Here is a 27,128-nt window from a genome sequence, read left to right as displayed (position 1 = left end):
GTGGCAATAGGTATCTGGGCGTTGGTGGGAGTGGGACATGAAATTAAAAAGGAACAGAAAACAATTGGTATTAGACTTGACAACATTAGCTACTAGAACACTGTGAAGTGACGCCTCCAAATTCTGAATCTAGGCAAAGTGTGAAGGCAGAATAAAGACATTTTCAGGCCCAGCGCGGTAGCTCACGCCTGTAATCCCAGCACTTTGGGAGGCCTAAGTGGGCGAATCACCCGAGGTCTGGAGTTCGAAATCAGCCTGGCCAACATGGTGAAACCCCATCTCTACTTAAACTATAAAAAAAAAAAAAAAAAAAAAAAAATGGCCAGGCGTGGTGGTGCACGTCTTTAATCCCAGCTACTCGGGAGGCTGAGGCAGAAGAATCGCTTGAACTGGGGAGGCAGAGGTTGTAGTGAGCTAAGATTGCACCACTGCACTCCAGCCTGGACAACAGAGTGAGACTCCGTCTCAAAAAAAAAAAAAATTTCAAACATGAAAGAACTAAAAAACATCTTTAATACATGCATCTTAAGGAACTTATTGGAAAAGAACTTTAGCAAAAATTAGCTGAATTCTAGGAAACAAGAATCAAACTTAGGAAAACAATGACGGTAAATTTTAGGACAACTGTACAGTCCAATTGCAGCCACAGAATGGAAGAGAGATTCTACTCCGATGTTTGAACCACTGAAAAAATAATCGATGAACATTTAACATATCTGTTGGAACATTTCTAAAAAATAGCAACAAGTACAAAGAAAACCAATAAATCCTTGATAAACAAACTCATGTAAGAAATGTACTTGGTTTTAAAGAGAAAATAATTGACGTAATTAGTACATATACTCCACATATTCACTTAACCAAAACTTGAGATATCTGGAAGAGATCAAGGAGAAAGAAGAAAGTTTTAAATATTTTAAATGAAGTATTACAATGAACATTTTTATTACTAAAGGTATTTTTAGCTACGAAAATGAGGCTGATCTTTCAACTAAAGATCAAAGAAACTTACTATCCAAGAATGCTTGGAGACATTGAATTTATCCAAGAGTTCATCCAGGAACAAAGGGGAAAAAACAAATCTCATTTGTTAGAATATTCCAAGACCAGGTATGGAAGAAAATAAAATGCCTCTCCCTCCCGTTTCATGGTGTCCTATTCAATTTTCTGACACAGTCCTACAATTCCATCATTTGGAAGTAATAGCAACCTTATTCCTTTCCAATTTTTTTTCCTGCAATTATTTTACTTGCCTAACACCACAGTCCTGAGGGCACACAAGGGCCAGATGCAGATAATCAAAATCCCAACACTCAGTTTCATAGGGACCCACAAACCGTCTCCATGGAAAACCAGAACCAGAAGCGCTGCCCTATCAGAAGGATTCTGGAAATAACGCTGGATGAGGCAGAGCCACAGTCACAGATCCGATGTCAGGTACGTCACAAACGCAGACACAAACCGCAAAGACCCCAGAGACCCGCTACAGCCAGCGTCAGAGTCAGGCACCACCGCGCAGCCTTCTCTGCGGCACCATCCTAATCCCCCGCTAGAGAACGGCACACGCGCACGCAGCAGCCCCGTGCACGGAAACACTACTCCGCCAGCGGCCAGGCACTCGGTCCAGGTACGCGGGGGCGCGGCGGCCGTCACTCAGCAAACACCACAGGCAGCACGCGCCGCGCCTTGGTCCAGGCTCGCGATACTGGGGTTTCCTCCATCCAACTCACGCCAGGGTCACGGCTACAGGCCTAGATTTGAACACTCCATCCCCATCGGGATCCTGTAGCCAACCTCCACCCTCCTCCAAACCTCCCGACCCCTCGGCAGGTGCGGCCCCACACTTCTCCCTTGCTCCCTGAAGGGCCCCAGCGTTCGCCCCCCGCGCGCTTGCGCACTCGAGGCAGAAGCCGATTTCCAAAGGTTCCGGTGAGGCGTCGCTGGGGGCGGGGCGGGGCTCGCAGCCTCCGCCTGTCTCCGAGCCGAGAACCAAATGAAAAATAAAAAGGCGGAATATTGTTTTTTTAAATTTTGGACCGCAGTGTCCACAGGGGAGCAGGCCTGGATTATCTTTAATGGCACTGGTCAGTCACGGGGCGGCCATTACAGGTAGAGGCCTGAGGCGAGGGACACTGCGGCCCCTCTGGCTCCGTCTCCCCGGCCCGACTATCCCCGCCGAGACCCGGCCCCACGCGCCCCTCCCGGCCCGGAGCAGCTGCGGGACTTGCCTCCGCCCCCCCGCGCGCTAGCGCATTCGCGACGGAGACAGGCGCTCTCCCGTATTCTGGCGCCGCTGACTCCCAGGGCTGGGCTATCCTCTGAGTCGGGTGAGGCTGGGGCTGGGAGCCGGGCGCCACTGTGGCCGCTGCTTTTCTGAGGGAAAAGAGCGCGGAGTGGGCCAGGTTTTGCAGGCCGGGCCAAGGTGGAGAAAAGGTTCCTGTGGAGCCTCAGGCCGGTGTGCTTTTTTTCCCGGGACTGAGCTTCTGCAGCCCTGAGGCCTGGAGGCCCGGGCGGTAGTAACTGTGCCGGACCAGGTTCGTGGGTGCGGCCTGTGGTGCAGTTGGAGACCGAGGCCCCGCGCATCCTCGTCCGCGCTTCAGCCACTTAGGCTCGGCCGTAGCGAAAAGGCCCAAGAGGGAAGTCAGAGGTGAACGCCCCAGGATGAAGGTCCCCTGCAAAACGCTGGGACCTAGATTTGGGGTGGGTGTCTGGGGTCTAGGAGGACACGCTGGACAGTTCCGAAAAGACACAGTGGGTGGTCCCGGGCGTGGGCAACCGGGTGCGGAACTACAGCGTACCCGGAGCTGCGAACCCAGACGCGGGTGACTGCTGACCCTCTGCCCTGTCGTTTCCATTTGTGCATGCAGGTGGCGGTTAGTTGGGGCCAGGGAAGCGTGGAGGGTGGGTTCCAATCGAGTCAAGAAAAGCCTGGGGTGTCCTGAACTCTGCCTGCTTCCCCAGCCCTGCCAGTTTCCAGAGAAGGCGCTTGAGAAGGAGAAACGAATCGCTGCTGCTCTTCTAAAAGCCGGTTCCCTGTGAGTTCGTGCTGCTGCTTTGTTTCTGTGAAATGCATTCGAGTTCCTTCCGTTTAAAATCCTGCTTAGGAATGATCTATTTATTCATTGATTTGGGCCTTAGGATTTCCCTACCTAGTTAACGGCAGGGGACCTAATTAATAGATTTCCCGTTGTTAGTGCCCACTTCATGCTGTTCTATAGTTAGACACATGGTTAGTTAACTGTAGGCTGCAAATTCAATTACTCTGTGAGCGCTGTTTTTCTAAGGATCTTGATGATATGGAAATACCCGTGCTGGAGATTAATGTTCATACTTTGTTTTTATTTGTTTTTTAGGGTTTAGATATGTTTAATGGTTCTGGGGTAGGAGTGGAGATTTCTTTTTTTCCAGGAAATTCATGAGTGGAAGTTTTTGGTACCAGCCAGATGTGGTTTGAGGTCTGGCAGCATGAGTTTATTTTGGGTATATCTTGGATCGACTGAGGGAGGTGTAGTGTAGTGGTTAAGAATTTCGAGCCTAGATTAAGTGGAATTGAATCCTGACTGCCACTTAAATCTGAACGAGTTTAAGCAATCTGTGCTTCAATTTCCTCAGAATTGTAATAGTGTATACTTTACGGTGTTGTTTTGAAGATTACATGAATTAATATTTGTGAAGCTCTTAGGAGAGTGCCTGGCACATAGTGAGTCCTTAATTCATACTAGCTACTGGTATTAAAATGATGATGCTCAGTCATTTCCTATCAGCTTTGTGTATTTCCAAGACCAATGCAAATGTGAAGGTAATTATGATGGATGCTTGCAAGCAGGAAAATGAGCCAGACCCTGCAGTGGACCAGAACAGGGATTGGTAACATAAGTCCTTGGACTCTGTTTATGAGCTTTCAGGGCAACAAAGATATTTTAAGATTATATACAGAATTGTTGTATGTATTTGTAAATGGTTAATTTTTTCAGTGGAGCGAGGAAGTCTATCATTTCATGGTATTATCAGAGTTGTATAAGCTCCAACAACATTGATTCTCACTGTCTAGAAATGAAATAACTGGTAATGACTTTCGGGATGTTCTTTTATAAAATTAATATCTAGCAGTATGGAAATGGTTAAATCACACTCCATGTGATGGAATGTTATGCAATAATAAGAATTTTGTTTATATTTAGTCATAAGAAAAAAGTATAATGTAATATTGAGAAGTATTGTTGTAAATAAGAATCATCAAGAAATTGTTACATATGAATCTTGTATACTACAATAAAGGTTTTTAAGTTATTTTGCAACAATGTAATATTTAAATATTAAATTGCTAGGTATTTAATGATTAGTTATTTATTGGAGCTGAGGAGGGGTAAATGCAAGTTATTAAGTAGCTGCTGTGAAATGAGCATTTGTTTTTGTCTGCAGTTCTTACTGGCTCTTAATCACTTTGGAAATGACATGAACCAGGATTGTAATCCTTCACAGAACTATTTCAGGGTCTTGATGAGATACAATACTCAGGAACTGGTAGAAATTATTTTTTCAGTCACACTGATTTCCCTGTTGTCACCATTTATGCAGGGCCTGTTTAATCACAATTTTCTTTTTTCTTTCTTTTTTTTTTTTTTTTTGAGACGGAGTTTTCGATTTTGTTGCCCGGGTTGGAGTGCAATGCCGAAATCTCAGTTCACTGCAACCGCTGCCTCCCGGGTTCAAGCGATTCTCCTGCCTCAGCCTCCCAAGTAGCTGGGATTACAGGTGCCCGCCACCATGCCAGGCTAATTTTTTGTATTTAGTAGAGACGGGGTTTCACCATGTTGGTCAGGCTGGTCTTGAACTCCTAACCTCAAGTGATCCACCTGCCTCGGCCTCCCAAAGTGTTGGGATTACAGGCGTGAGCCACCGCACCTGGCCCACAATTTTCTTAATGACTGTAAGGTAGCCTATCTTCCCAGTCATTTAAAATTTTTTGGAATAGCTTTTTAAAATATTTCTGATGACAGAATTAATACAAGCTTGTGAAATATTAGTAACTACGGAACCTATAAAGAAAATTAAAATGATCAATGGTCCCAATGTCCAGAAATAATAATTATTAATGTTTTAGAGCATATTTTCCCAAAATATTTCTACAAGTCTGTGTGGTTTTGTGTGTGGTTTTATTTATTTATTTATTTTTTTGAGGTGGAGTTTCGCTCTTGTTTCCCAGGCTGGAGTGCAGTGGCGCGATCTTGGCCCACTGCAACCTCCGCCTCCCGGGTTCAAGTGATTCTCCTGCCTCAGTCTCCCAAGTAGCTGGGATTACGGGCACCTGCCATCACGCCCAGCTAATTTTTTGTATTTTTAGTAGGGACAGGGTTTCACTATGTTGACCAAGCTGGTCTCGAACTCCTGACCTCAGACAATCCACCTGCCTCAGCCTCCCAAAGTGCTGGGATTACAGGTGTGAGCCACCGTACCCGGCTGGTGGTTTTCTCTCTGAAGAACAGGCTAATACTAATTGCAAATTTAAAAGAAACTAAGACCTCTAGTTCTTAGTTTAAAAGAGGAATTCAGTGCTCTTGTGGATTATATGACTCCATGGATGTATGGAGAAAAGTGACATCCCAGTGATCCACTTCTGGTTTGACAGACCTTCCAAATATTTACAGTTCTTCAAATTATGGAAATTTCAGTTAAGTTGAGATTTAAATCTGATTTTAAAATTAATTTTAAAATCTCAGAATTGAAATTTTAAGAGTTTTTTTCATCTGTTCAAGTCTGTTTCCCTTTAATGGTCTAAAAAATCTAATCATATATTGTTTTGTAAACTTTTTTTTTCTTTCAGTGTATCTTGAATATTTTCCTTTCCTTAACTGTTTTCTAAAATTTAGCATTTAGTGATTACCTTAGTATTCCATTTTATGGATGTTTTGTAAATTTTTTAAGAAATGACTTATTGGACAGGAATATTCCAAACTGCCCAAGCAATTCCTTCAGGAGGATTTCTGGCTCCTATGACTTGATCAACTTTTCACCTCAGAGTCATGTGAATTTCAGAGTTAGGCATATTTAGGAATTGACTTTTGCCAGGTGGGATACAGGTATTTGAAGTATTTGACTGTATTTCTGAAGGATTGATTTTTCATTCTTAGAATATAAAATAGACAGCTGTGCTATTTTTTTTTTTTTTTTGAGATGGAGTCTTGCTCTGTCGCCCAGGCTAGAGTGCAGTGGCGTGATCTCGGCTCACTGCAACCTCCGCCTCCCGGGTTCAAGCAATTCTCCTGCCTCAGCCTCCCAAGTAGCTGGGACCACAGGCACATGCCACCATGCTCAGGTAATTTTTTGTATTTTTAGTAGAGATGGGGTTTCACCGTTTTAGCCAGGATGGCCTTGATCTCCTGACCTCGTGATCTACCCGCCTTGGCCTCCCAAAATGCTGGGATTACAGGTGTGAGCCACTGTGCCCGGCCAGCTGTGCTATTTTATACCAGGAGCTTCATCCTTCAATTACATGATTCGGGGAAATGAATTAATGATAATTTCTTAGAAAACTAAACTTACAAAAAACAAGATCATTTTAATCTCAGAAAAAAAAGTCATATGCAAAAAAGGCAAAATAACCTGAGTATACTGCATAGTTCAGTTGGTAACAATGTTTAGTCACAGTAATGTAAACTGAATTTAAAAACTGATTTACTCTGAAATAGAATAAAACCATATTGAGGCTGGGTGCAGTGGCTCACACCTATAATCCCAACACTTTGGGAGGCCGAGGCTGGTGGATCGATCACATGAGCCCAGGAGTTCAAGACCAGCCTGGCCAACATGACAAAACCCCATCTCTACAAAAAACACAAAAATTAGCTGGGCGTGGTGGTGTGTGCCTGTAATCCCAGCTACTCGGGAGGCTGGGACAGGCAGAGAATCGGTTGAACCCAGGAGGCGGAGGTTGCAGTGAGTTGAGATTGTGCCACTGCACTCCAGCCTGGGTGACAGAGTGAAACTCTGTCTCAAAAAAAAAAAAAAGGAAAAGAAAATCATATTGAAAGGACAAAGGGACTGCAACTATGCATATGTGGGTGGGAGTTGAGTAGGTAAAAGACAGCTAAAACTATGCCTCTTATAGTAGTAAGTGAATATGTAATGATTACAACTGAAAATTCAGAAGTGGAAATATTAGCATGTTTTTTAAATACCAAAAGGAATGGCTAATAGAGGTAAAAATTACTGCCTCTAGATTTGGAAGATGGGGCAGAGTAGCAGGGATGGAACTGTTGGAGCTTTTTGTGATATTCCTTGCATAGCTGTTTTGAATTTTTGTTCAGGTATAAGTGATAAAAATTTTTAATTAAAAAATTCAGGCCAGGTGCAGTGGCTCAAGCCTGTAATCCCAGAACTTTGGGAGGTGGAGGCAGGTGGATCACTTGAGTCCAGGAGTTTGAGAGCAGGCTAGGCAACATAGACTGCATCGCGGTAAAAAATAGCCAGGGTGGTGTCATGTGCCTTTAGTCCCAGCTACTCAGGAGGCTGAGGTAGGAGGGTCGCTTGAGCCCTGGAAGTGGAGGTTGCAGTGAGCTGAGATCCGAGATTGCACTTTAGCCTGAGCGACAGAGCAAAAGCCTGCCTAAAAAAAAAAAAAATGTAAAGATTCCAGGGAAGAACAAATAAAGATCACCTAGGACTGGGATACCATCAAGTAAAGGTAACAATAAAATTTTATTCCAATTCACAGATCATTTTATACACATGCATATACATGTATGCATGTGTATGTAGTTTACCTGCCGAAATACAATTACATTACAATCATATTTTCTAACCTGTCTTCTTCCCCCAACAATATGTAGTGGCCATCTTCCCATGACATCAAATATGAATTTTATCTTCATTTTTAATGGGTGTTTATTTTTCTTTTTTTTTTCTTTTCTTTCTTTTTTTTTTAAGACGGGGTATCACTCTATTGCCCAGGCTGGAGTTCAGTGGCATGAACGGGGCTCACTGCAGCCTTGACCTCCTGGGCTCAGGCGATCCTCCCACCTTGACCTCCCAGGGAGCTGGGACCACAGGTGTGCACCACCATGCCCCGTTAATTTTTTGTAGAGATGGAGTTTTGCCATGTTGGCCAGGCTGGTCTTGAACTCCTGGACTTATTAAGCGGTCACCTGCCTTGGCCTCCCAAAGTGCTGGGATTACAGGTGTGAGCCACTGCACTCGGCTGTTTAATTTTCCATTGTGTGAATGCATGATAATTTATTTGACATTGCTGAAGGACATTTAGGTTCTTTCCAGCTTTTTTGGTCCCATTTTAAACACTCTATCCACATATTATTTCATTCTTTGTACATCATATCATTGAGTATCCATTTCCCCAACAGCTTAGTAACTATGAGGTGTCATAGCTTTTTGAAATCTGCCAATCCAGTTCCTTCAATATGCTCTCTAGTTACGAGTAGATTTTGACTGATAAGCTGATAGGTTATTTCTTTTTCCTATTTTGTTCTTTTTTTTTTTTTTTTTTAAGAGACAGGGTCTTACTTTGTCACCCAGGCTGGAGTGCAGTGGAAAGATCATAGCTCACTGCAGCCCTGAACTCCTGGGCTCAAGCAATTCTCCTGCCTCAGCCTCCCAAGTAACTAGGGATACAGGCAGGTGCCAACACACCCAGCTAATTTAAAAAAATTTTTTTGTTGTTAGAGACAGTATCTTACTATGTTGTTGAGGCTGGTTTTCAATTCCTGGCATCAAGCAATCCTCCCATCTGGGCCTCCCAAAGTGCTGGGACTACAGGCATGAGCCACTGCACCCAGCCTATTTCTAGCTTCTAGAACATTATCCACACTCAGGCTTCATAAATTTACTTCTCTAAGTCTGAGTACCAAGAAAGATTGCTTGGTAATTGAGATCATGCAGGCAATATTGATGATCCTGAATAGGAAAATAAGGAGCAGAGAGCTCTGAGTTAAGCCTTGGGGAAGGGATCCCAATGTGCACCTGCAGTTTTGCCATAATAAAGGCTGCTATATAGCCTTTCTACAGGTGTTTTATACCTGTGGTTCTCAAAGTGTGGCATCTGGACCAGCAGCATCAGCATCACCTGGAAACTTTTTAGAAATGCAAAGTCTCAAGTCCAATCCCAGACGTACTGAATGCCAAACTCTGGGAGTGAGACCTAGCAAGTTGTGTTTTAAGAAGCCCTCTGGGTGATTCTGATGCATACTAAAGTTTGACTACCAAACTTTGCTGCCCATTATAAGCACCCATGGGAGGAGGAGGTAGTTAAAAAAAAAATCCTAAATCCCACGTCACACTAATTAAATCAGTGTGTTTAAGGGTGGGAGCCAGGCAACAGTATATTTTAAAGATATCCAGGTGATTCCAATTTGAGCAAAGTTTGGGAAATTCTTGTCTATGCTATTTTTTGTCTTCATGTTTGGGGAGGCCAGCCAGATTCCTAAGGCCAAGAAGGAAGTTTTGGTTTAGATGGTGTAGCCCCTTTTCAGCTGGGAAGGTGGGGATGGAGGGAGGAGGATCTGTTCAGGACAGGTCTGCACAACCCATTCTTTGGTCCAAACCAGCCCGCCTTGGGGTCAGAGCTGGGGACCAACTGGCAGCCCTCCTGCTGAAGTGTCTAGACATATGCTTTGATGCCGCAGAGTCTCTGCTCTTCAATTCCTTGTGCAGCTGAGCTGATTTCGCTGTGGTTTTGGGGAGGACATCTTTGTCTAAACTACCTCTTACCTATCAAAACTTGTCTGTGTGTTGGGGGTGGGAGTTGCATATAGGAATGGAGAAGTAGTACCAGTTTTTAAAATTTGGAAACTCTGAGGCAGTTCTCTTCTCATGATTTTACATGTTCTTTCTGCAGCTCTGGTGTCTGTGGACCCTGCTTCTGAAGTACATGAACCTTGAGGAAAATTGACCAGTTCTAGCAGTTCTAAAATCATGGCTCGTGTAAGTTGGAATTTCTCTCTACTTTGGAATTCTGTCATTTTTTTCAGGTTATGTGAACATTCTCATTTGTTATTCTGCAACTTTCTAACAGAGCCCCATTCAACAGCTTCTCCCCAGTCTTCCCCATTCCAGCACGGGATGGAGCCAGCCAGATTCCTAAGTGCCCCTGTCTTCTCCATCTGTATCTGTATTAGTCCATTTTCACGCTGCTGATAAAGACATTCCTGAGACTGGGTAATTTATAAGGAAAAAGAGGTTTAATGGACTCACAGTTCCACATAGCTGGGGAGACCTTACAATCATGGTGGAAGGTGAAAGGCATGTCTTACATGGTGGCAGGCAAAGAGTGAATGAATGCCAAGAGAAAGAGGAAACCCCTTATAAAATCATTAGATCCCGTGAGACTTACTCACTGCCATGAAAACAGTATAGGGGCAACTGCCCCCATGATTGAATTATCTCCCACCGGCTCCCTCCCACAACACATGGGAATTATGGGAGCTACAATTCAAGATGAGATTTGGGTGGGGACACAGCCAAATTGTACCAGTATCCATGTGTGCATTGACCAAATCATTCAGCATCTCTTGTGTGCTCCTTATCTGTCTAGAGCAGAGATGGGGCAGAAATGAAGTTCCTAGAAGTGGGCATTTTATCTGAAATTCTCAGGATTAAAATAGCACTGTCCAAAATAATTGTAATTCAAGCTACAAATATAATTTAAAATTTTCTAGTAGTCAAATTTTAAAAGTGTAGACTAGTATGCAAGGTCAAATATTTTAAATACTTTAGTAGTCACATTAAAAAAAGTAAAAAGAAACACATGTAGTTTATTTTAATGTCTTTTATTTAACCCAATATGGCCAAAATATTATTTCACAGTGTAATCAATATAAAAGTCATGGTCAGGCCCTGACAGTGGTGGCTCATGCCTGTAATCTCAGTACTTTGGAATTGGAAGGCTGAGGCAGGAGGACTACTTGAGCAGAGGAGTTCGAGACAACCTTGAGCAACTTAATGAGATCCCATCTCTTAAAAAAACAAAACAAAGCAAAACAAAACAAAACAAAACTGGCCAGATGTGGTGGCATATGCCTGTGGTCTCAGCAATTTGGGAAACTGAGGTGGGAGAATTGCTTGAACCCAGGAGTTCGAGGCTGCAGTGAGCTGTAATCAATAAATGGGCTGTGATTGTGCCACGCCATTCCAACCTAGGTGACAGAGTGAGACCCTGCCTCAAAACCAAGATAAAATAAAGAATATATATATAAATCATCAATATGTTTTACCTTGTTTTTTTGCTTCTAAAGTCTTCACTATCTGGTATCTGGTATATATTTTACATTTACAGCACATGTGAATTTGGACTAGTCCCAGTTCAAGTGCTCAGTATCCACATATTGCTAAACTAGAATATTGGGCATTGAAGCAGCTTTAGATATTTTTTGTAATGTAAATTCTAAATATAATATATTTAAAAGTATAGCTATATCTAAATATAATCACTATTAAGTGTAACATATCCATCAGATGGAGTACAGCAGTCCCTCGTTACCCAAGGGGGATACATTCCAAGACCCCCAGTGGATGCCTCAAAACCTCAGATAGTATGGAACCCTATATTTATGATGTTGTTTTGATCTGATAATCAGGTAGTATATACAATGTTGATATGCTGGACAAAGCATATCACATCCCAGGTGGGGCGGAGTGGTTAGTGTGAGATTTCGTCATGCTACTCAGAATGGCATGGAGTTGAAAACTTATGAATTGTTTATTTCTGGAATTTTTCCATTTTATATTTTTGGACCATGGTTGACTGTGGGTAACTGAAATTGAGGAAAGCAAAACCATGAGTAAGGGAGAACTACTGTATCATGCAGTAAACTGTAAATATTAAATAAAGAATCTGTTATAATAAAAATGCTAATGATACATTATGATAAAGTTACATCTAGAAGACATTTTTAAGTTTTATGCAAACTATACTTTTTAAAAATAGGCATTTTACAGTTCATTTTTTGGGGAGAATACCATCAATTATTATTATTTTTTAAAAATCTTTAAAGGAAAAGAAGATAGAGTAAATCCCATTTATTGAGAATTTTTTAGGTCCTTTGCAAGTACTGTTCCTATGAACCTATTTCAGTTAATTGAAAAATTCTGATAATTACCCGAATATGTCTGGAAATAAATAAAATTATCTCCTATTCCATAGTACGTAGGAAGTTTTGGCCATAGCAGTGGTGGGCAAACTAGATACACTATAAATCTGGCCCACAAGCTGTAGCTTGTTTGGAACAGCCTGCAAGCTAATTACATTTTGAAATAATTGTTACAAAAAAAAAGAAGAATGTGGAACAGAGACCATATGTGGTATACAAAGCCTAAAATATTGGCCCTTTACAGAAAATGTTGCCAAACCCTGGTCTTTTGTTTATAGAAATCTTCAAGAACACATATTCTGCTTCAGTCACACTCACATCTTTATTGCCACCTTCCCACATCACAGGCTTCCAGCCCTAGTCTATTCATTTGATGTATGAAGTGAACATGTATCATCAAAACCCTTCTTCCACTTTTTTTTTCTTTTTTTTTTTTGAGACGGAGTCTCGCTCTGTCGCTCTGTCACCCAGGCTGGAGTGCAGTAGCGCGATCTCGGCTCACTGCAAGCTCCGTCTTCCAGGTTCACACCATTCTCCTGCCTCAACCTCCCGAGTAGCTGGGACTACAGGCGCCCGCCACCATGCCTGGCTAATTTTTTATATTTTTAGTAGAGACGGGGTTTCACTATGTTGGCCAGGATGGTCTTGATCTCCTGACCTCGTGATCTGCCTGCCTCGGCCTCCCAAAGTGCTGGATTACAGGTGTGAGCCACCGCGCCGGCCTTTTTTTTTGAGACAAGTTCTTGGTATGTTGTCTAGGCTGGTCTCAAACTCCTGGCCTCAAGCAGTCCTCCTGCTTCAGGCTCCCAAAGCTAGAATTATAAGCATTGAGCCACTACACCCAGCCACCTTCTTCCATCTTCAAAATATTTTCATTTATCTTACAAATAATACATGCGTTTATCATTTCAGGATTTGGTGATGTTCAGAGATGTGGCTGTAGACTTTTCTCAGGAAGAATGGGAATGCCTGAACTCATATCAGAGGAATTTGTACAGAGATGTGATATTAGAGAACTATAGCAACTTGGTGTCACTGGGTAAGCCTAGCATATCTGTGTCAGATAATTTAGACATTCACAGGACTGAATTTCTGGGCTGTCTTTGTTTTTTTCCAAAGACGAAGTCTCGCTGAGTCACCAGGCTGAAGTGCAGTGGCGCAATCTTGGCTTACTGCAACCTCTACCTCCTGGGTTCAAGCGATTCTACTGCCTCAGCCTCCCGAGTAGCTGGGACTACAGGCGCACACCACCACACCCAGCTAATTTTTGTATTTTAAGTAGAGACGGGGTTTCACCAGGTTGGCCGGGATGGTCTTGATCTCTTGACCTCATGATCTGCCCACCTCAGCCTCCCAAAGTGCTGGGATTACAGGTGTGAGCCACCGCGTCTGGGCTGTCTTTCTAAAAACTAGCTAAATGTCTGCTTTGTGCTTTGACAGTAAGTACCACTATTAAGCACCTTCATCTTTCTGTATAATTCAGTGACCGTTATATTTTTCTTCGACTTTTCTGTTATTACCGGTCTTTAATGACAGCTGGATATAAATTCTTAGACACTCATGGCAAAACCATTGTCAAAACAATCTGATTTCATACTGCTATGGATGGTCCATGTTATTTGTAACTCATTTACAGTGAGAATAGGAAGACAGAGGTGTCTGGCTCTACATAGCTATTAAAAGAGCTTTTACAGTGTATGTGATGCTGGGTTGAATTGACAGTTTGTTAAAACTCAAGTGGACAGTATTCAGTTTCCTACAACAGACATATTTTAACTGCTTTGTGATTAAGTTTAAAATACATGAATTTGCATTTAATATTGTATGCATATCCTGGCAAGAAACTTATTTTTCTTTAAAAAAAAAATCAAAAAATAGCAAATGTAGTACCTCATGAACATATATGATGGTTAACATGTACCAGGTACTCATCTAAACACTTACATTAAATCGAATCTCACAACAATGCTATATATACGCATTACTGTTATCCCTTTTTCACGTCTGAGAAAAATGAGGTGCAGAGAGATTGAATTAGTTGCTCTACTGACATGGGAAAGAGAGGCAGGATTTGAAACCAGTGCTTTCAACTATTCTTTTCTCTCAAGAGACAGAGCCTGTGTAAGTTTAAATTAAAATAAAACCAGGTCCCTACTTCTGTGTTCTTGTTTTTCCTTGTGATCCTGAAGTAACTCTATGCTATGAATGTTTTTCAATCCTGATAGTCTTCTTTGTTTTGAAGCCTTAAATAAATTCTTTATTATATTCTATTATTTATTTTTAAGCAGGATGTTCTATTTCTAAGCCAGATGTGATCACCCTATTGGAACAAGGGAAAGAGCCCTGGATGGTTGTGAGGGATGAGAAAAGAAGATGGACTCTAGGTAAGTGCTGATCAGGCAGAGGTCAGCCATTATGGCATGGCCAGACCTGCTGGTTGAGGAGGAGACACACCCCTTAGATGTCAATTGTGAAGAAGAGACCTGAAACTTGGGAAGAAAATTTAGATCTTCTCAGCATGAGCCATCAAAGACATTTCATCCATACTTCCACTTATCACTCGTTTCTTTTTTTTTCTTTTTTTTTTTTTTTTTTTGAGACGGAGTCTCGCTCTGTCGCCCAGGCTAGAGTGCAGTGGCGCGATCTCTGCTCACTGCAAGCTCCGCCTCCCGGGTTCACGCCATTCTCCTGCCTCAGCCTCCCCAGTAGCTGGGACCACAGGCACCTGCCACCATGCCTGGCTAATTTTTTTGAATTTTTAGTAGAGACGGGGTTTCACCATGTTAGCCAGGATGGTCTTGATCTGACCTCGTGATCCACCCGCCTCGGCCTCCCAAAGTGCTGGGATTACAGGCGTGAGCCACCGCGCCTGGCCTCAGTCGTTTCTTTTCTATCTTGTTTCCCTCCCTTTTCTTTCCCCTATTTCAGTAGAGGAAAGCTTTCTGCCCTAGTGATTCCATTTTACCTGTATTTTGAATCTAATCCCTTTCTAGCTCATCTTTTATATTTTGACTTTTATGTATACATTTTTTCATTGCCCATGTTCATGGAGTTTAAATTGTAGTGGGGAGTCACACAGTAAACAAGTAAATAAAATCAGTAAATGGATTACTAAAATATCCTGAAGTAATTAGGTATTATGAAGAAAAGTGAGTAAGGTAAGGATATGGAGAATTATAATGAATGAATAGAGTAATTTTAGATGGGTTGGTCAGGCTCCAGTTGGCCAAAGATGGGACTATTTGAACGTCATTACATATAATGACTGCAGTGTATTGCAATGCATAAAATACACTTAATTTTATAAATTCTTGATACTAACAGCAAATTATTCATCATTGAAAGTTACTAGAAAACTAACATTTAAAAAGCATAAATTAAAAGGAAAAGAAGCATTTATCCTGCCTTTCTTATAAGAATTATATGAATAGGTAGTAGATGGAGGTATGTTTCTCTTAATAAAAGTGTTCAGTGAATAAATGAAGAAGAAATGATAGAATATTACCATTGTGGAACCCATAAGAACTATTGGATTTAGATATTGAATATCAGTGCTGATAGCATCAAAGAAATAGAGGCAATCGGGTGTTGTTTCTCCTAATGAAAGAGCACGATATCACCTATGAGGTAACTTTGCCAACAAAAGGTCCTAAGTCTTATCAAGCATCTAAAGCCAATTGCCAACTTACGGGAAGAAGACAGAGGACTATGTTCTACACCTTGGGAATGTAGTGAGCCAAATTCAGAATATGGGAAACTACAGGACCAAAAACAGGTTCTTCAACAAATAAATTACAAGGGAAATAAATAAATGATAGGAAAACCTATAGATTAAAAGAGATGTAAAAGACACGTCAACAGTTGTATTCTGTGAACTCTGTTTGGATGAGTTATTCTTTTTAGGTTGTTTAAAATTTTATCAGATGGAAGTGTGGACATTGACTTTTGATGATATTTAATAATTCATTTTTTGGGTTTGGATAATGGTATTGTGGTTATGTGTAAAAGTGCTTTTTGAGATGCAAACTTTGTACACATGAAACGATGTAATATCCAAGATTTGCTTCAAATAATACGAAGGAAGTAGATTGGGAGGTGCGTAGGCCAAGATTGGGCATGGGGTTAATGCTGGATACATGGAGATATTATTATGCCGTTCTGTCTACTTTTTGATATGTTAGAAATGCTCTGTTATAAAGGTTTTTCATTTGTTTGTTTTAGAGTTACTGAGAGATAAAAAGAAAATGGTGGTGAGGCAATGATGAAAATAAGGTTAAACTATTCTTTGGATGAATTTTGCCATAGAAGGGAAGCAGATACATAAGAGTACAAGGAATATATTTTACGATGTGAAATATTAGAACATGTTTATAGGCTACGAGAATGATTTCAAAGAGAGGAACATTGATGAAGTAGAGAGAGAGGGTAGTTTTGTAGGCAGCGACCTTCAGTAGATGGGAAGGAGTGGAACCAATTGATGAAGTAAAACCACATATATGGTAAGAATTCAGACATAGATTGATTGGAGAATGTGGTGAAGAGAATACATATTTTTCTTTCAGTTGTTTCTGGTTCCTTGGTGAAATGGCAGTAAGATTATCGTCTGAACCTGAGGATTATTCAGTATTTCATTGGAATTCAGTATGGATTATGCAGTATTAGATCAGTGTTAATTTTCAGAAGTACAATTTTGTGGTCATAGGGTTTTAACATTTTCAGATCTCTGATGTTAATATAATTAGAATTGTCTTGGTCATAAATATTCTGTATCCTGTATAATCTTGTATCAGCCAGAAAAAAAAGGGGTGGGGGAGACATTATACCTCAGGAAATAGCATACCTCCGGGGATGACAAGATAATTTGCTCCCTATTTTATTTTATTTTATTATTTTATTTTACTTTATTTTATTTTATTTTATTTTATTTTGAGACGAGGTTTCTCCATGTTGCCCAGACTGGTTTCAGACTCCTGGGTTCATGCAATCTGTCTGCCTCGGCCTGCCAGAGTGCTTGTATTACAGGTGTGAGCCACCACACCCTGCCCCTATTTTATTTTTAATTAAAGCTGATGCCCTGTAAATGGAAATAACACTTCTTTCATTTTGATCTAAGATGGACTAATATTTTGTTTTCACATTAGCAGTGCTTACTAGACTAAACTCTTTGATTCAGTAGAATCCAAACTAGTATTTGGCTTATTAATTTTATTAGTTAATATTAAATTATATAGTATTATATAATTAAATAATGTTAATATTAAAATTAAAATATATACATATTTTACATACATGTTTTTGGAGGTAGAACATTAAAATTGTCTATCATAGTCCAATCTTTTGATGTTTGGCCCAGCATTTTGTTTCAGTGTAGGTCTAGCCCATTCTGTCTTGATTAAAGTACTTATGAAACATAGGCTATTCTTTCCCATTTCAACTTCTTTGAAGTAGAACAGGAATGTAAAGATACTTGTGAAGCAATCTGAGGGCAGAATTCTTGAATTTTTATGTTTTCTGTCTTTTACTATTTTCTCACCCATGCCTACGTTGACAAAAATGAAATGTTTATGTATAGCCAATACTACGAAACATCCAACTTAGTTTTCATAGAAATAATTGTCTTTAAACATTAATAATTTTAGTTGCTTGCAGCAGTAAGAACTGTAATAGGCAAACTTGGGAACAAACATGGCTATTTGGTAGCGTACAGCTCAGCTGTGTATATTATAGAACAGCCTTCTAACTGAGAATGTTCAAAATACCAAGATCTTGATCTGGCTTGTCACTTAAGTAGGGAGCCATATATGACAATCTCAAGTTCACCTTATCAACACTGGCAATTTTTTTTTTTTTATGAAAACCTTCAAATTTTACAGGATAAATTTTACAACCTATTCTAATTTGATTATTAGTGAATACAGACATTTTGTCCTAATTTGTTTATGCTTATATTTACTTTTCCATTGTCTTCTCACTTCCTTTATTCCATTACCTTTTCCATTGTTTATTATTTCTTATGCCAATTTGTATGGGCTTAAATTTCTTTCTTTTAATTTTAGTTTTTCGAGATTGGGGTCTCATTACATTGGCCAGGCTGGTCTTGACTTCCTGGCCTCAAATAATCCTTCCACCCCAAGTGATCCTCCCACCACAGCCTCCCCAAGTAGTTGGGGATTACAGGTGCGAGCCATGGTGCCCAGTTTGTGTGGACTTTAATGCTATAAACAGTAACACGTTCTCACTTTCTTATGAATGTTTTAGCCTTTAATTCGATTTTTGACTGGCTTTCCTTTTAGATTACTGGTTTTATTTTTAATTTGCAGGTAAATCCTTTGAAATGAGCATCTTATTTCTTAACCTTTGTATTACCTTCATAACTACTTACTTATTTACTACCATTATTTAGCTAATTATGATGCTTTTATTAATATCACTTATATCTTATTTGTCTTATTGAGGCCATAAATGGACTTTATCCCCAAAATTCTAGACAACTGCCATATTTTGTATTGCTTTTTTTGGATGGGGAGACAGAGAAAGAGACAGAGAGAGAGAAACACGATTATATAGCAGTATTTTCTGTTCCATTCATTTACCTGTCCCTGGTCACATTTTATCCACAGCATTTAAATTATTGTTGTCTTTTACTATCTTTTTAGCGTATACTTTTTAAAAGTAAACTTATTGAAATATAAATATATACAAAAATATACAGATAATTAGTGAATTGTCACAGTGACCACACCCATCTAATTAGTACACAGATTCAGAAATAGAGCTTTACTAGGATACCAGAAGCCCCTCTTGACTTCTTTCGGTCATTCCTCCCCACCAAGACTAACCACTGTCCTGACACCACCATAGATTATTAATTATCATTTTTTAACTTTATAAAAATGGAATTGTACAGTATAGATTGTTGTATGTCTAGTTTTGTTTATTCACCATTATGTTTTTGAGATTAGCCCTTGCTGCATGTAGTTGTAGTTTGTTAATTCTTGTTGTTGTATAGTATTGCGATGTATTAATATGCCATCATTTATTAGCTGTTCTTCCATTGATGAACACTTGGACTCTTTCCAGTTTGGGTATATTACAAATAACGTTGCTTTAACCCTAACTCTAACCCTAACCCTAAAGCAACATTATTTAAAATACCTTTTCCTTTTTGAAGAGTATTGAATTCCTATTGCAAAGATTTTGAGAACAGGTGCATTTGCAAAAAACATCTCTTTGCTCAGAATTTTACTAGCCTTTTACCATAGTATAAACCTGTTGTTACACCTGGAAAATCACTGAAATATTCTCTAGGAAGTACACAAATGGCATTATGGGGACTTTCAGGAAGATACGGGGAACCTGTAACATAGATGTGCAAGTTACGTAAACTCAAGTAAAGATAAATATTTAGAGACTCTTATTACCTTGGTCGTGAAAGGGGGCAAAGTTCACTTATGATTATGCAAAGTAGGAATTGAACTGCAGTGGAGGTATCTGCAAGTGTACATGAAGAGGCAATTGGAAGGATGATGAAGTGTAAAGAAATCACTATTTTCCATTTATATATTTTACTGAGATAGCTTAGATGTACTTGTTTCCCATCTCTGTAGGAAGTGATAAAAAGAATGTTTAATCAGTGTAGTAAGGTTTAAGATTGGAGGCAGGATACCATATGCCATAATTGTTGACTAATTATGAGAATTTAATTCACAGTTAATATGTACTGTGGATTTGCTATTCACTGGTGAGTGAAAAATTGTTTCTGCCCTTGGGGAAGTTTAAGGTAAGAAAATAAAGAGAATAATAAGTGGAGAAATTAATGAATAACAACCCAGTTGAGAAAAGTGTTCAGCAAGAAATAAGTAGCCAGGCATGGTGGCTCACACCTGTAATCCCAGCACTTTGGGAGGCTGAGGCGGGCAGATCACTTGAGGACAGGAGTTCGAGATCAGCCTGGCCAACATTGTGAAACTGTCTCTACTAAAAATACAAAAATTAGCCAGGTGTGGTGGCGGGCACTTGTAATCCCAGTTACTTGGGAGGCTGAGACACGAGAATTGCTTGAACCCTGGGGTAGAGATTGCAGTGAACCGAGATCATGCCACTGCACTTCAGCTTGGGCAACACAGTGAGACTCTGTCTCAAAAAAAAAGGAAAGAAGTAGGCTGGGCGCGGTGGCTGACGCCTGTAATTCTGACACTTTGGGAGGCCGAGGCAGGTGGATCACGAGGTCAGGAGTTCAAGACCAGCTTGGCCAAGATGGTGAAACCCCATCTCTACTAAAAATACAGCGGTGGCACATGCCTGTAATCCTACCTACTTGGGAGGCTCAGGCAGGAGAATCACTTGAACCCAGAAGGCAGAGGTTGCAGTAAGCCGAGATTGCGCCATTCCACTCCAGCTTGGGCAACAAGAGCGAAACTCTGTCTTTAAAAAAAAAAAAAAAAAGAAAAAAAGAAAAAAGAAAGAAGTGACTGGGATAGAAAACAAAGGATATATATTACATGAAGTCAGCAGGGATCATTTTTCTGATTTTTAAAATGAAACCTGATGGATGAAAGAAACCCAACCATGCAAACCCAAGTCAGGATTCCTGGGAGATTTAATAGCCAGTGAAAAGCTCCAAAAAGTGGAAAGATTGGGTCGGATGTGGTGGCTCACGCCTGTAATCCCAGCACTTTGGGAGGCCGAGGCAGGCGGATCACTTGAGGTCAGGAGTTCGAGACCAGCCTGGCCAACATGGTGAAACCCTGTCTCTACTAAAAATACAAAAGTTAGCCAAGTATGGTGGCGCACTCCTGTAATTCCAGCTACTAGGGAGGCTGAGGCAGGAGAATTGCTTGAACCTGGGAGGCAGAGGTTACAGTGAGCTGAGATCGAGCCACTGCACTACAACCTGGGCGACAGAGACTCCGTCTCGAAAAAAAAAAAAGAAAAGAAAGATTGTGACACATTCTAGGAGCAGAAAGGAGGCAGGCAAGTGTCATAGGGACATGGACAGCAAAGGGGACAGTGGCTTGAGTTGATACCTTGTGTTCGACAGAGTCCATGTTACTCCTGATAAAGTATTTGCTCTGTATTCTAACTGAAAAGAGAAATTGAAAAATTTAAGTGGGGAGTCTCAAACTTTGATCTGCACCCAAATAACCTGGTCTTAACTCATCATTTTCTTATTTCCTTTTAGCTTCTTTTAAATTACCTATTTTAGAGATTTTGAGCCCATTTACTTCAATTGGGCTTTCTTTTTCTTTTTTTTTTTTTTTGGTCACCGATTTCTATTATAAAGTTTTCGTTTGTTTATTTTGTGTAGAACAGGAAAATATGTTTTGGTCTTGTTTTCTTTCAGATTTGGAATCCAGATATGACACTAAAAAGTTATTTCAAGGAAAGGATATTTATGAAATGAACTTATCTCAGTGGAAGGTAATGGAAAGAATTAAAAGCTGTGGACTTGAAGAACAAGAAAGTCCTCATGAGGTGTGTTTCAGGCAAGTGACAAAAACCACCTCTGAAAAAATGCCTACTTACAGAAAACTCACATCTCTTCCTCTGTATCAGAAAAGTCATAACAGAGAGAAACCCTACGAATGTGGGGAATGTGGGAAGGCTTTTAGAGTACGACAACAACTTACTTTCCATCAAAGAATTCATACTGGTGAGAAACCCTATGAATGTAAAGAATGTGGAAAAGCCTTTAGACAGTGTGCCCACCTCAGTCGACATCAGAGAATTCATACTTCTGACAAACTCTATGAATGTAAAAAATGTGGAAAGATCTTCACATGTGGCTCAGACCTTCGAGTACATCAGAGAATTCATATTGGTGAGAAGCCGTATGAATGTAAAGAATGTGGGAAAGCCTTTAGAGTTAGAGGACAACTTAATCTCCATCAAAGGATTCACACGGGTGAGAAACCCTATGAATGTAAAGAATGTGGGAAGGCCTTTAGGCAGTATGCACACCTTACTCGACATCAGAGACTGAACATTGCTGAGAAGTGCTATGAGTGTAAGGAATGTGGTCAGGCCTTTCTGTGTAGTACAGGCCTTCGACTACATCACAAACTTCATACTGGAGAAAAACCCTATGAATGTAAGGAGTGTGGAAAGGCCTTTAGAGTGCGGCAGCAACTTACTCTCCATCAGAGAATTCACACTGGTGAGAAGCCTTATGATTGTAAGGAATGTGGGAAGACTTTCAGTCGTGGCTATCATCTAACTCTCCATCAGAGAATACATACTGGTGAAAAGCCCTATGAATGTAAGGAATGTCAGAAGTTCTTTCGTCGTTACTCAGAACTTATTTCACATCAGGGTATTCACATTGGAGAGAAACCTTATGAATGTAAGGAATGTGGGAAGGCATTTAGGCTGTTCTCACAGCTTACTCAACATCAGAGTATTCATTTTGGTGAGAAACCCTTTAAGTGTAAGGAATGTGAGAAGACTTTTAGACTGCTTTCACAACTTACCCAACATCAAAGTATTCATACTGGTGAAAAGCCCTATGACTGTAAGGAATGTGGAAAGGCCTTTAGACTTCATTCATCACTGATTCAACATCAGAGAATTCATTCTGGTGAGAAACCATACAAATGTAAGGAATGTAAAAAGGCATTTAGACAACATTCACATCTTACTTACCATCAGCGAATTCATAATGTAACTTAATAATTATTAGAACTCTTCCTTTGCGAATTTTATGTTGAGCATAGGAAGTACATTCTAGAGGAAAGGTTTTTGAACGTGGGAATCCCTTTTGCTTCATGCTCACAACTAAGCATAGGAAGTTTTATTTAAAGGAAAGAATATGTTAATGAACATATAGAAGCCTTTCATCACCTTTGAAACCATGTTAAACTTTAGGAAATTCATCCTAGAAAAGAACTTTATTACAGGACTGAATGTGGAAAAGCTTTTGATCTTACCTATTATTATCTCCATATTCTTCCATCTGTGTATATACACACGAAGGTTGCTAGGGAACCACTTCATTCTGAAAATGTGTAAATGAAAGGAAAGTCATTTAGTCTGCATTTCCTGTAGGAACTGTATTTCAGGGCAACCAGAAGTTAAGGAGGTAAAGTTCTTCTTTATTAGAAAATTCCAGGCTAATGAATGCAGAAAGAATAATAGAAAATTATATTAGAAAAACTATTGTGTAACACATAATGAAATAATGGATCTAGGCATGATTCTCTGTACAGGTTGACACCATTCAGTGAAGGTTGTGAACTTTATAGTGAATAGATGAGACTGACAACGTCTGAACCCACTCATCATCTCAACTTCACAAAAAGCAAGAGAGTAAAAATTACGTGCCTCCTAATGTGCTACAGTAAGATATACACATCTTGCCAAAAATATTGAACCTGAATTTAAGCCTCAAGAGCCAACTCCCAGTTTAGAGAAAATTCAAGGAATGGAAGAGTAAATTACATGACACAAAAAGGAGCAATTAAATCTAAAATAAGGGTAATTCTACAAGAGGAATCACCTGGTTTCCCAACCAATAAAATGGCATTTTAAGAAATAAGGTGGAACTCCTAGGTATTGACAGACTTGAGACATCAGTCAAATGCAATGAAACAGTGGTTTTTACTTAGATCATGAGTTGAACAAACATGTAAAAGAAGAGATACTTAACAATAATTGGGAGAATGGAATATTGACAATATTAGATAATATTAAGAAACTTTGTTATGTGTGATAATAGCATTGTGGTTATGTAAAAGTGTATTTGTTAGAGATAATTTCTGAAGTCTATACACAGGAGATGATATATCTGGAATGTCCTTTTGTTCATACAAAAGAAAAATGAGGATGAATAACAAGTTTGGCAAAATGATGGTAACCTAAGTCTTGGATACATGGTTTTTATTTGTTTTGTTTTTGCTATTCTACTTTTGTGTATTTAAAATTTTCCATGATGTTCTTTTAAAGATCAAATTATCCATGAAATTATAGCCAGTTTAAAATGAATTATTTTAAAAAAAATTTCTGGCTGGGCCCGGTGGCTCATGCCTGTAATCCCAGCACTTTGGGAGGCCGGTGGGCAGATCATGAGGTCAGGAGTTCGAGACCAGCCTGACCATCATGGTGAAACCTCATCTCCACTAAAAATACAAAAATTAGCCAGGCGTGGTCACATGCGCCTGTAATCCCAGCTACTCGGGCAGCTGAGACAGGAGAATCACTTGAACCCAGGAGGCAGAGGTTGCAGTGAGCCGAGATCACGCCATTGCACTCCAGCCTGGGCAACAAGAGCAAAACTCTATCTCAAAGAAAAAAAGAAAATTTCTACATATTAAAACTTGTGGATGTTGCCAAAGCTCTACACATTGGGATTGGAATATTAATTACACTATAATGACGATAATGTATTCAGGAAGTTAAAATGTAGGTCCACATTTTATTTAGTTGACCTCTCTATCTCTATATTATAGTACCCATGGTATGCACCTTTTTTTTTTTTTTTTTTGAGACGGAGTCTCGCTCTTTCGCCCAGGCTGGCGTGCAGTGGCACAGTCTCGGCTCACTGCAAGCTCTGCCTCCCGGGTTCAAGCCATTCTCCTCCCTCAGACTTCCGAGTGGCTGGGATTACAGGCGCCCGCCACCACACCAGGTTGATTTTTGTATTTTTAGTAGAGATGGGGTTTCACCATGTTGGCCAAGCTGGTCTCAACTCCTGACCTCAGGTGATCCACCTGCCTTGGCCTCCCAAGGTGCTGGGATTACAGGCGTGAGCCACCATGCCCGACTCTCACTTCATATGTTTAAAGAATGAGTAAAAGAAAGCAATTACTACTGCTAAATGTGGGAAATAATGGACTAGACCTGTACTAATATATGGTAGTCACTAGCAACCTGTTGAGCACTTGAAATTGAGTTATTGAGCACTGAAATGTGGCTAGTCCAAATTCAAATGGTGTTTTTTTGTAAAACACAAGATTCTGAAGACTTAGTTATTTTAAAAAAGTTAAGTATCTCAATTTTTCATATTGAGTACATATTGAAATAATATTTTAGATATATTGGTTCAAATAAAATACATTAAAATGAATAACACTTTTTTGTTTTTAAAATTGTTATAGGAAAATTTATATATGTAGCTCACGTATTTCTATTGTCAGCGCTGGCATAAACAATAAAAAGTAGACTTGGTTTTTTTGTGTGTGTTTCTTTAAAAGATACCAATATAGTCAAGACCTTTGCAGTTTTGATCACAGAAATATGAAAGATTACACAGCTACAGCTATATGAATGATAAAAGTGACAGCTATGGATTTTTAAAGTTATAAGTTGCTATACTACATATATGTAATGTGTGTGTGTATAGTGTGTAGGTATATATATTTATATTTATACACACACTATACATGTATTTTAAAATATTGAAAATCCAGAATTATTTTATGGTAAAAATTACTAAAATTGACTTCACATGCTGAATGAAGAGAGCCTGAGTAGACCAACAAACAAATGAAAAATTAAGACGGTTAGAAGATACGCTTTCTAAAAGAATACATTTAGAATCTAACTTTAAAAAAAAAAAATCCTACTCTCCTGAGCCAGAGTGGTCTCAGAGAGACTCCGAGAACCTAATTTTTTACAAGTAAAATCTTTGAAGAATTGGTAATTGCTAAATTTTTCCAACATACTATTCTACAAGACTAACCTAAAACTGATTATAAGAACTAGGTGAGGAGGGCTGGCAAAACGAAAATCTAGACATTTTCCGTATGAAGAGAAATCTGGTAATTCTAATTTCTATGGGAAATTATATCCAACAGTTTAGAATAGAAAATCATTTATGTGGAATAACTTGGACCAGATCCATCCAGCTTTAATTATATATTTAGATTCTAGGCATTCTACCTTCAGAACATCATAATGATAGTAAAAGAGATACGATTCTGGCCCAGTATCATCTCAATTCATGCTTATTGTCTTTTTTTTTTTTTTTTTTTTAGCTTTCTATGTATTAAGAATGGAATGAATTTTATGTATGTAAAAGTGTAACCCAACACCTTAAAATTACCTTCTCAAAATTAATAAAGACAGAGTTCTTATAAATGATTGCATCAGTTGGACTTCGGTGATTTCACCGTGGTCATCCATTATGAACTGTATTTGCTGTTATAATTGGGAAGCCATGATGTTCAGTGTATTACATCATTATATTCCATTTCTCAAATGGAATATGAAACTTGATAGCATTTGAAACCATTTCCCAGGAAACACTAGTGCTTGATGGTATTTTTAGAAAGCATTCTGTGGTTAAATGAGCATATTAAAATTAATAATTAAGAAAATAAAACTATAGCTTCTCCAAATAATGAAGTAATGAGAGTTTAATTGATTTTATTTAACTTAATGTATCTGAAGCACCTTTTACCCTGTAACTTTCACTCTTAATGCTTGTGAGTATGGGATATGAACCCATTTTAACAGATAAGTGCTGTAACCAAAACAGGTGACAGCAAAGGTGGAAAGTTCGGACCTCATGTCAGGTGGTTAGTTGTGTTGGAAGGTGGATGTGAGGTATGTTTCCCTGGATGTGGCATCATGTTCTAAAGTCACCTGTTCTTTCTGAATATTGAACTGTTGCTTTTCTGCAGAAATAAAATTTCTGAATCAACACTATACTGCAATGAAAATGAACAACCTATGACTGTGTACAATACAGATAAATCTCAAAAGCATAATGCTGGGCAAAAGAAGCCAGACATAAAAGAGTGTGGGGAAAAGCAAGAGAGATCAGATTGTTACTGTGTCTGTGTAGAAAGAAGTAGACATAGGAGACTCCATTTTGTTCTGTACTAAGAAAAATTCTTCTGCCTTGAGATTCTGTTAATCTATAACCTTACCCCCAACCCCGTGCTCTCTGAAACATGTGCTGTGTCAACTCAGAGTTAAATGGATTAAGGGCGGTGCAAGATGTGCTTTGTTAAACAGCTGCTTGAAGGCAGCATGCTCCTTGAGAGTCATCACCACTCCCTAATCTCAAGTACCCAGGGACACAAACACTGC

At 39.6% G+C, this 27,128-nt stretch overlaps 1 protein-coding gene across 7 annotated transcripts, besides 3 other annotated features; it reads left to right on the top strand.

Annotated features, from left to right (window-relative positions):
- Positions 1,126–2,113: an enhancer, noted in NCBI's record as "H3K27ac-H3K4me1 hESC enhancer chr19:38146535-38147522 (GRCh37/hg19 assembly coordinates)". NCBI's record gives its function as "activates a minimal SCP1, AML or CMV promoter by ChIP-STARR-seq in naive H9 embryonic stem cells {active_cell/tissue: H9 hESC(naive)}" and the evidence as "EXISTENCE:reporter gene assay evidence [ECO:0000049][PMID:30033119]".
- On the top strand, positions 1,486–26,741 carry ZFP30 (ZFP30 zinc finger protein). 7 transcript variants are annotated; one of them, NM_001320668.3, is made up of 6 exons: positions 1,486–1,627; positions 2,868–3,035; positions 9,848–9,933; positions 13,011–13,137; positions 14,384–14,482; positions 21,442–26,741. In NM_001320668.3, the coding sequence occupies exons 3-6, from the start codon at positions 9,925–9,927 to the stop codon at positions 22,764–22,766; spliced, it is 1,560 nt and encodes a 519-aa protein (NP_001307597.1). In that variant the 5' UTR covers positions 1,486–1,627; positions 2,868–3,035; positions 9,848–9,924; the 3' UTR covers positions 22,767–26,741. The 7 variants fall into 7 exon arrangements, with proteins under 7 accessions (NP_001307597.1, NP_001307600.1, NP_001307599.1 ...); NM_001320671.3 differs by lacking the exon at positions 1,486–1,627 and adding an exon at positions 2,282–2,327 and having other exon boundaries at positions 2,962–3,035; positions 14,387–14,482; NM_001320670.3 differs by lacking the exon at positions 1,486–1,627 and adding an exon at positions 2,282–2,327 and having other exon boundaries at positions 14,387–14,482.
- Positions 1,677–1,726: an enhancer, noted in NCBI's record as "active region_14555". NCBI's record gives its function as "activates an Ori minimal core promoter by ATAC-STARR-seq in GM12878 lymphoblastoid cells {active_cell/tissue: GM12878}" and the evidence as "EXISTENCE:reporter gene assay evidence [ECO:0000049][PMID:35858748]".
- Positions 2,137–2,326: a silencer, noted in NCBI's record as "silent region_10556". NCBI's record gives its function as "represses an Ori minimal core promoter by ATAC-STARR-seq in GM12878 lymphoblastoid cells {active_cell/tissue: GM12878}" and the evidence as "EXISTENCE:reporter gene assay evidence [ECO:0000049][PMID:35858748]".

The sequence above is a fragment of the Homo sapiens genome, chromosome 19 (genome assembly GCF_000001405.40).
Source record: "Homo sapiens chromosome 19, GRCh38.p14 Primary Assembly".
In the NCBI taxonomy this organism is placed as follows: Eukaryota; Metazoa; Chordata; class Mammalia; order Primates; family Hominidae; genus Homo; species Homo sapiens.
The sequence above is the reverse complement of the archived record's forward strand: the minus strand, read 5'-3'. Positions and strand labels throughout refer to the sequence as shown.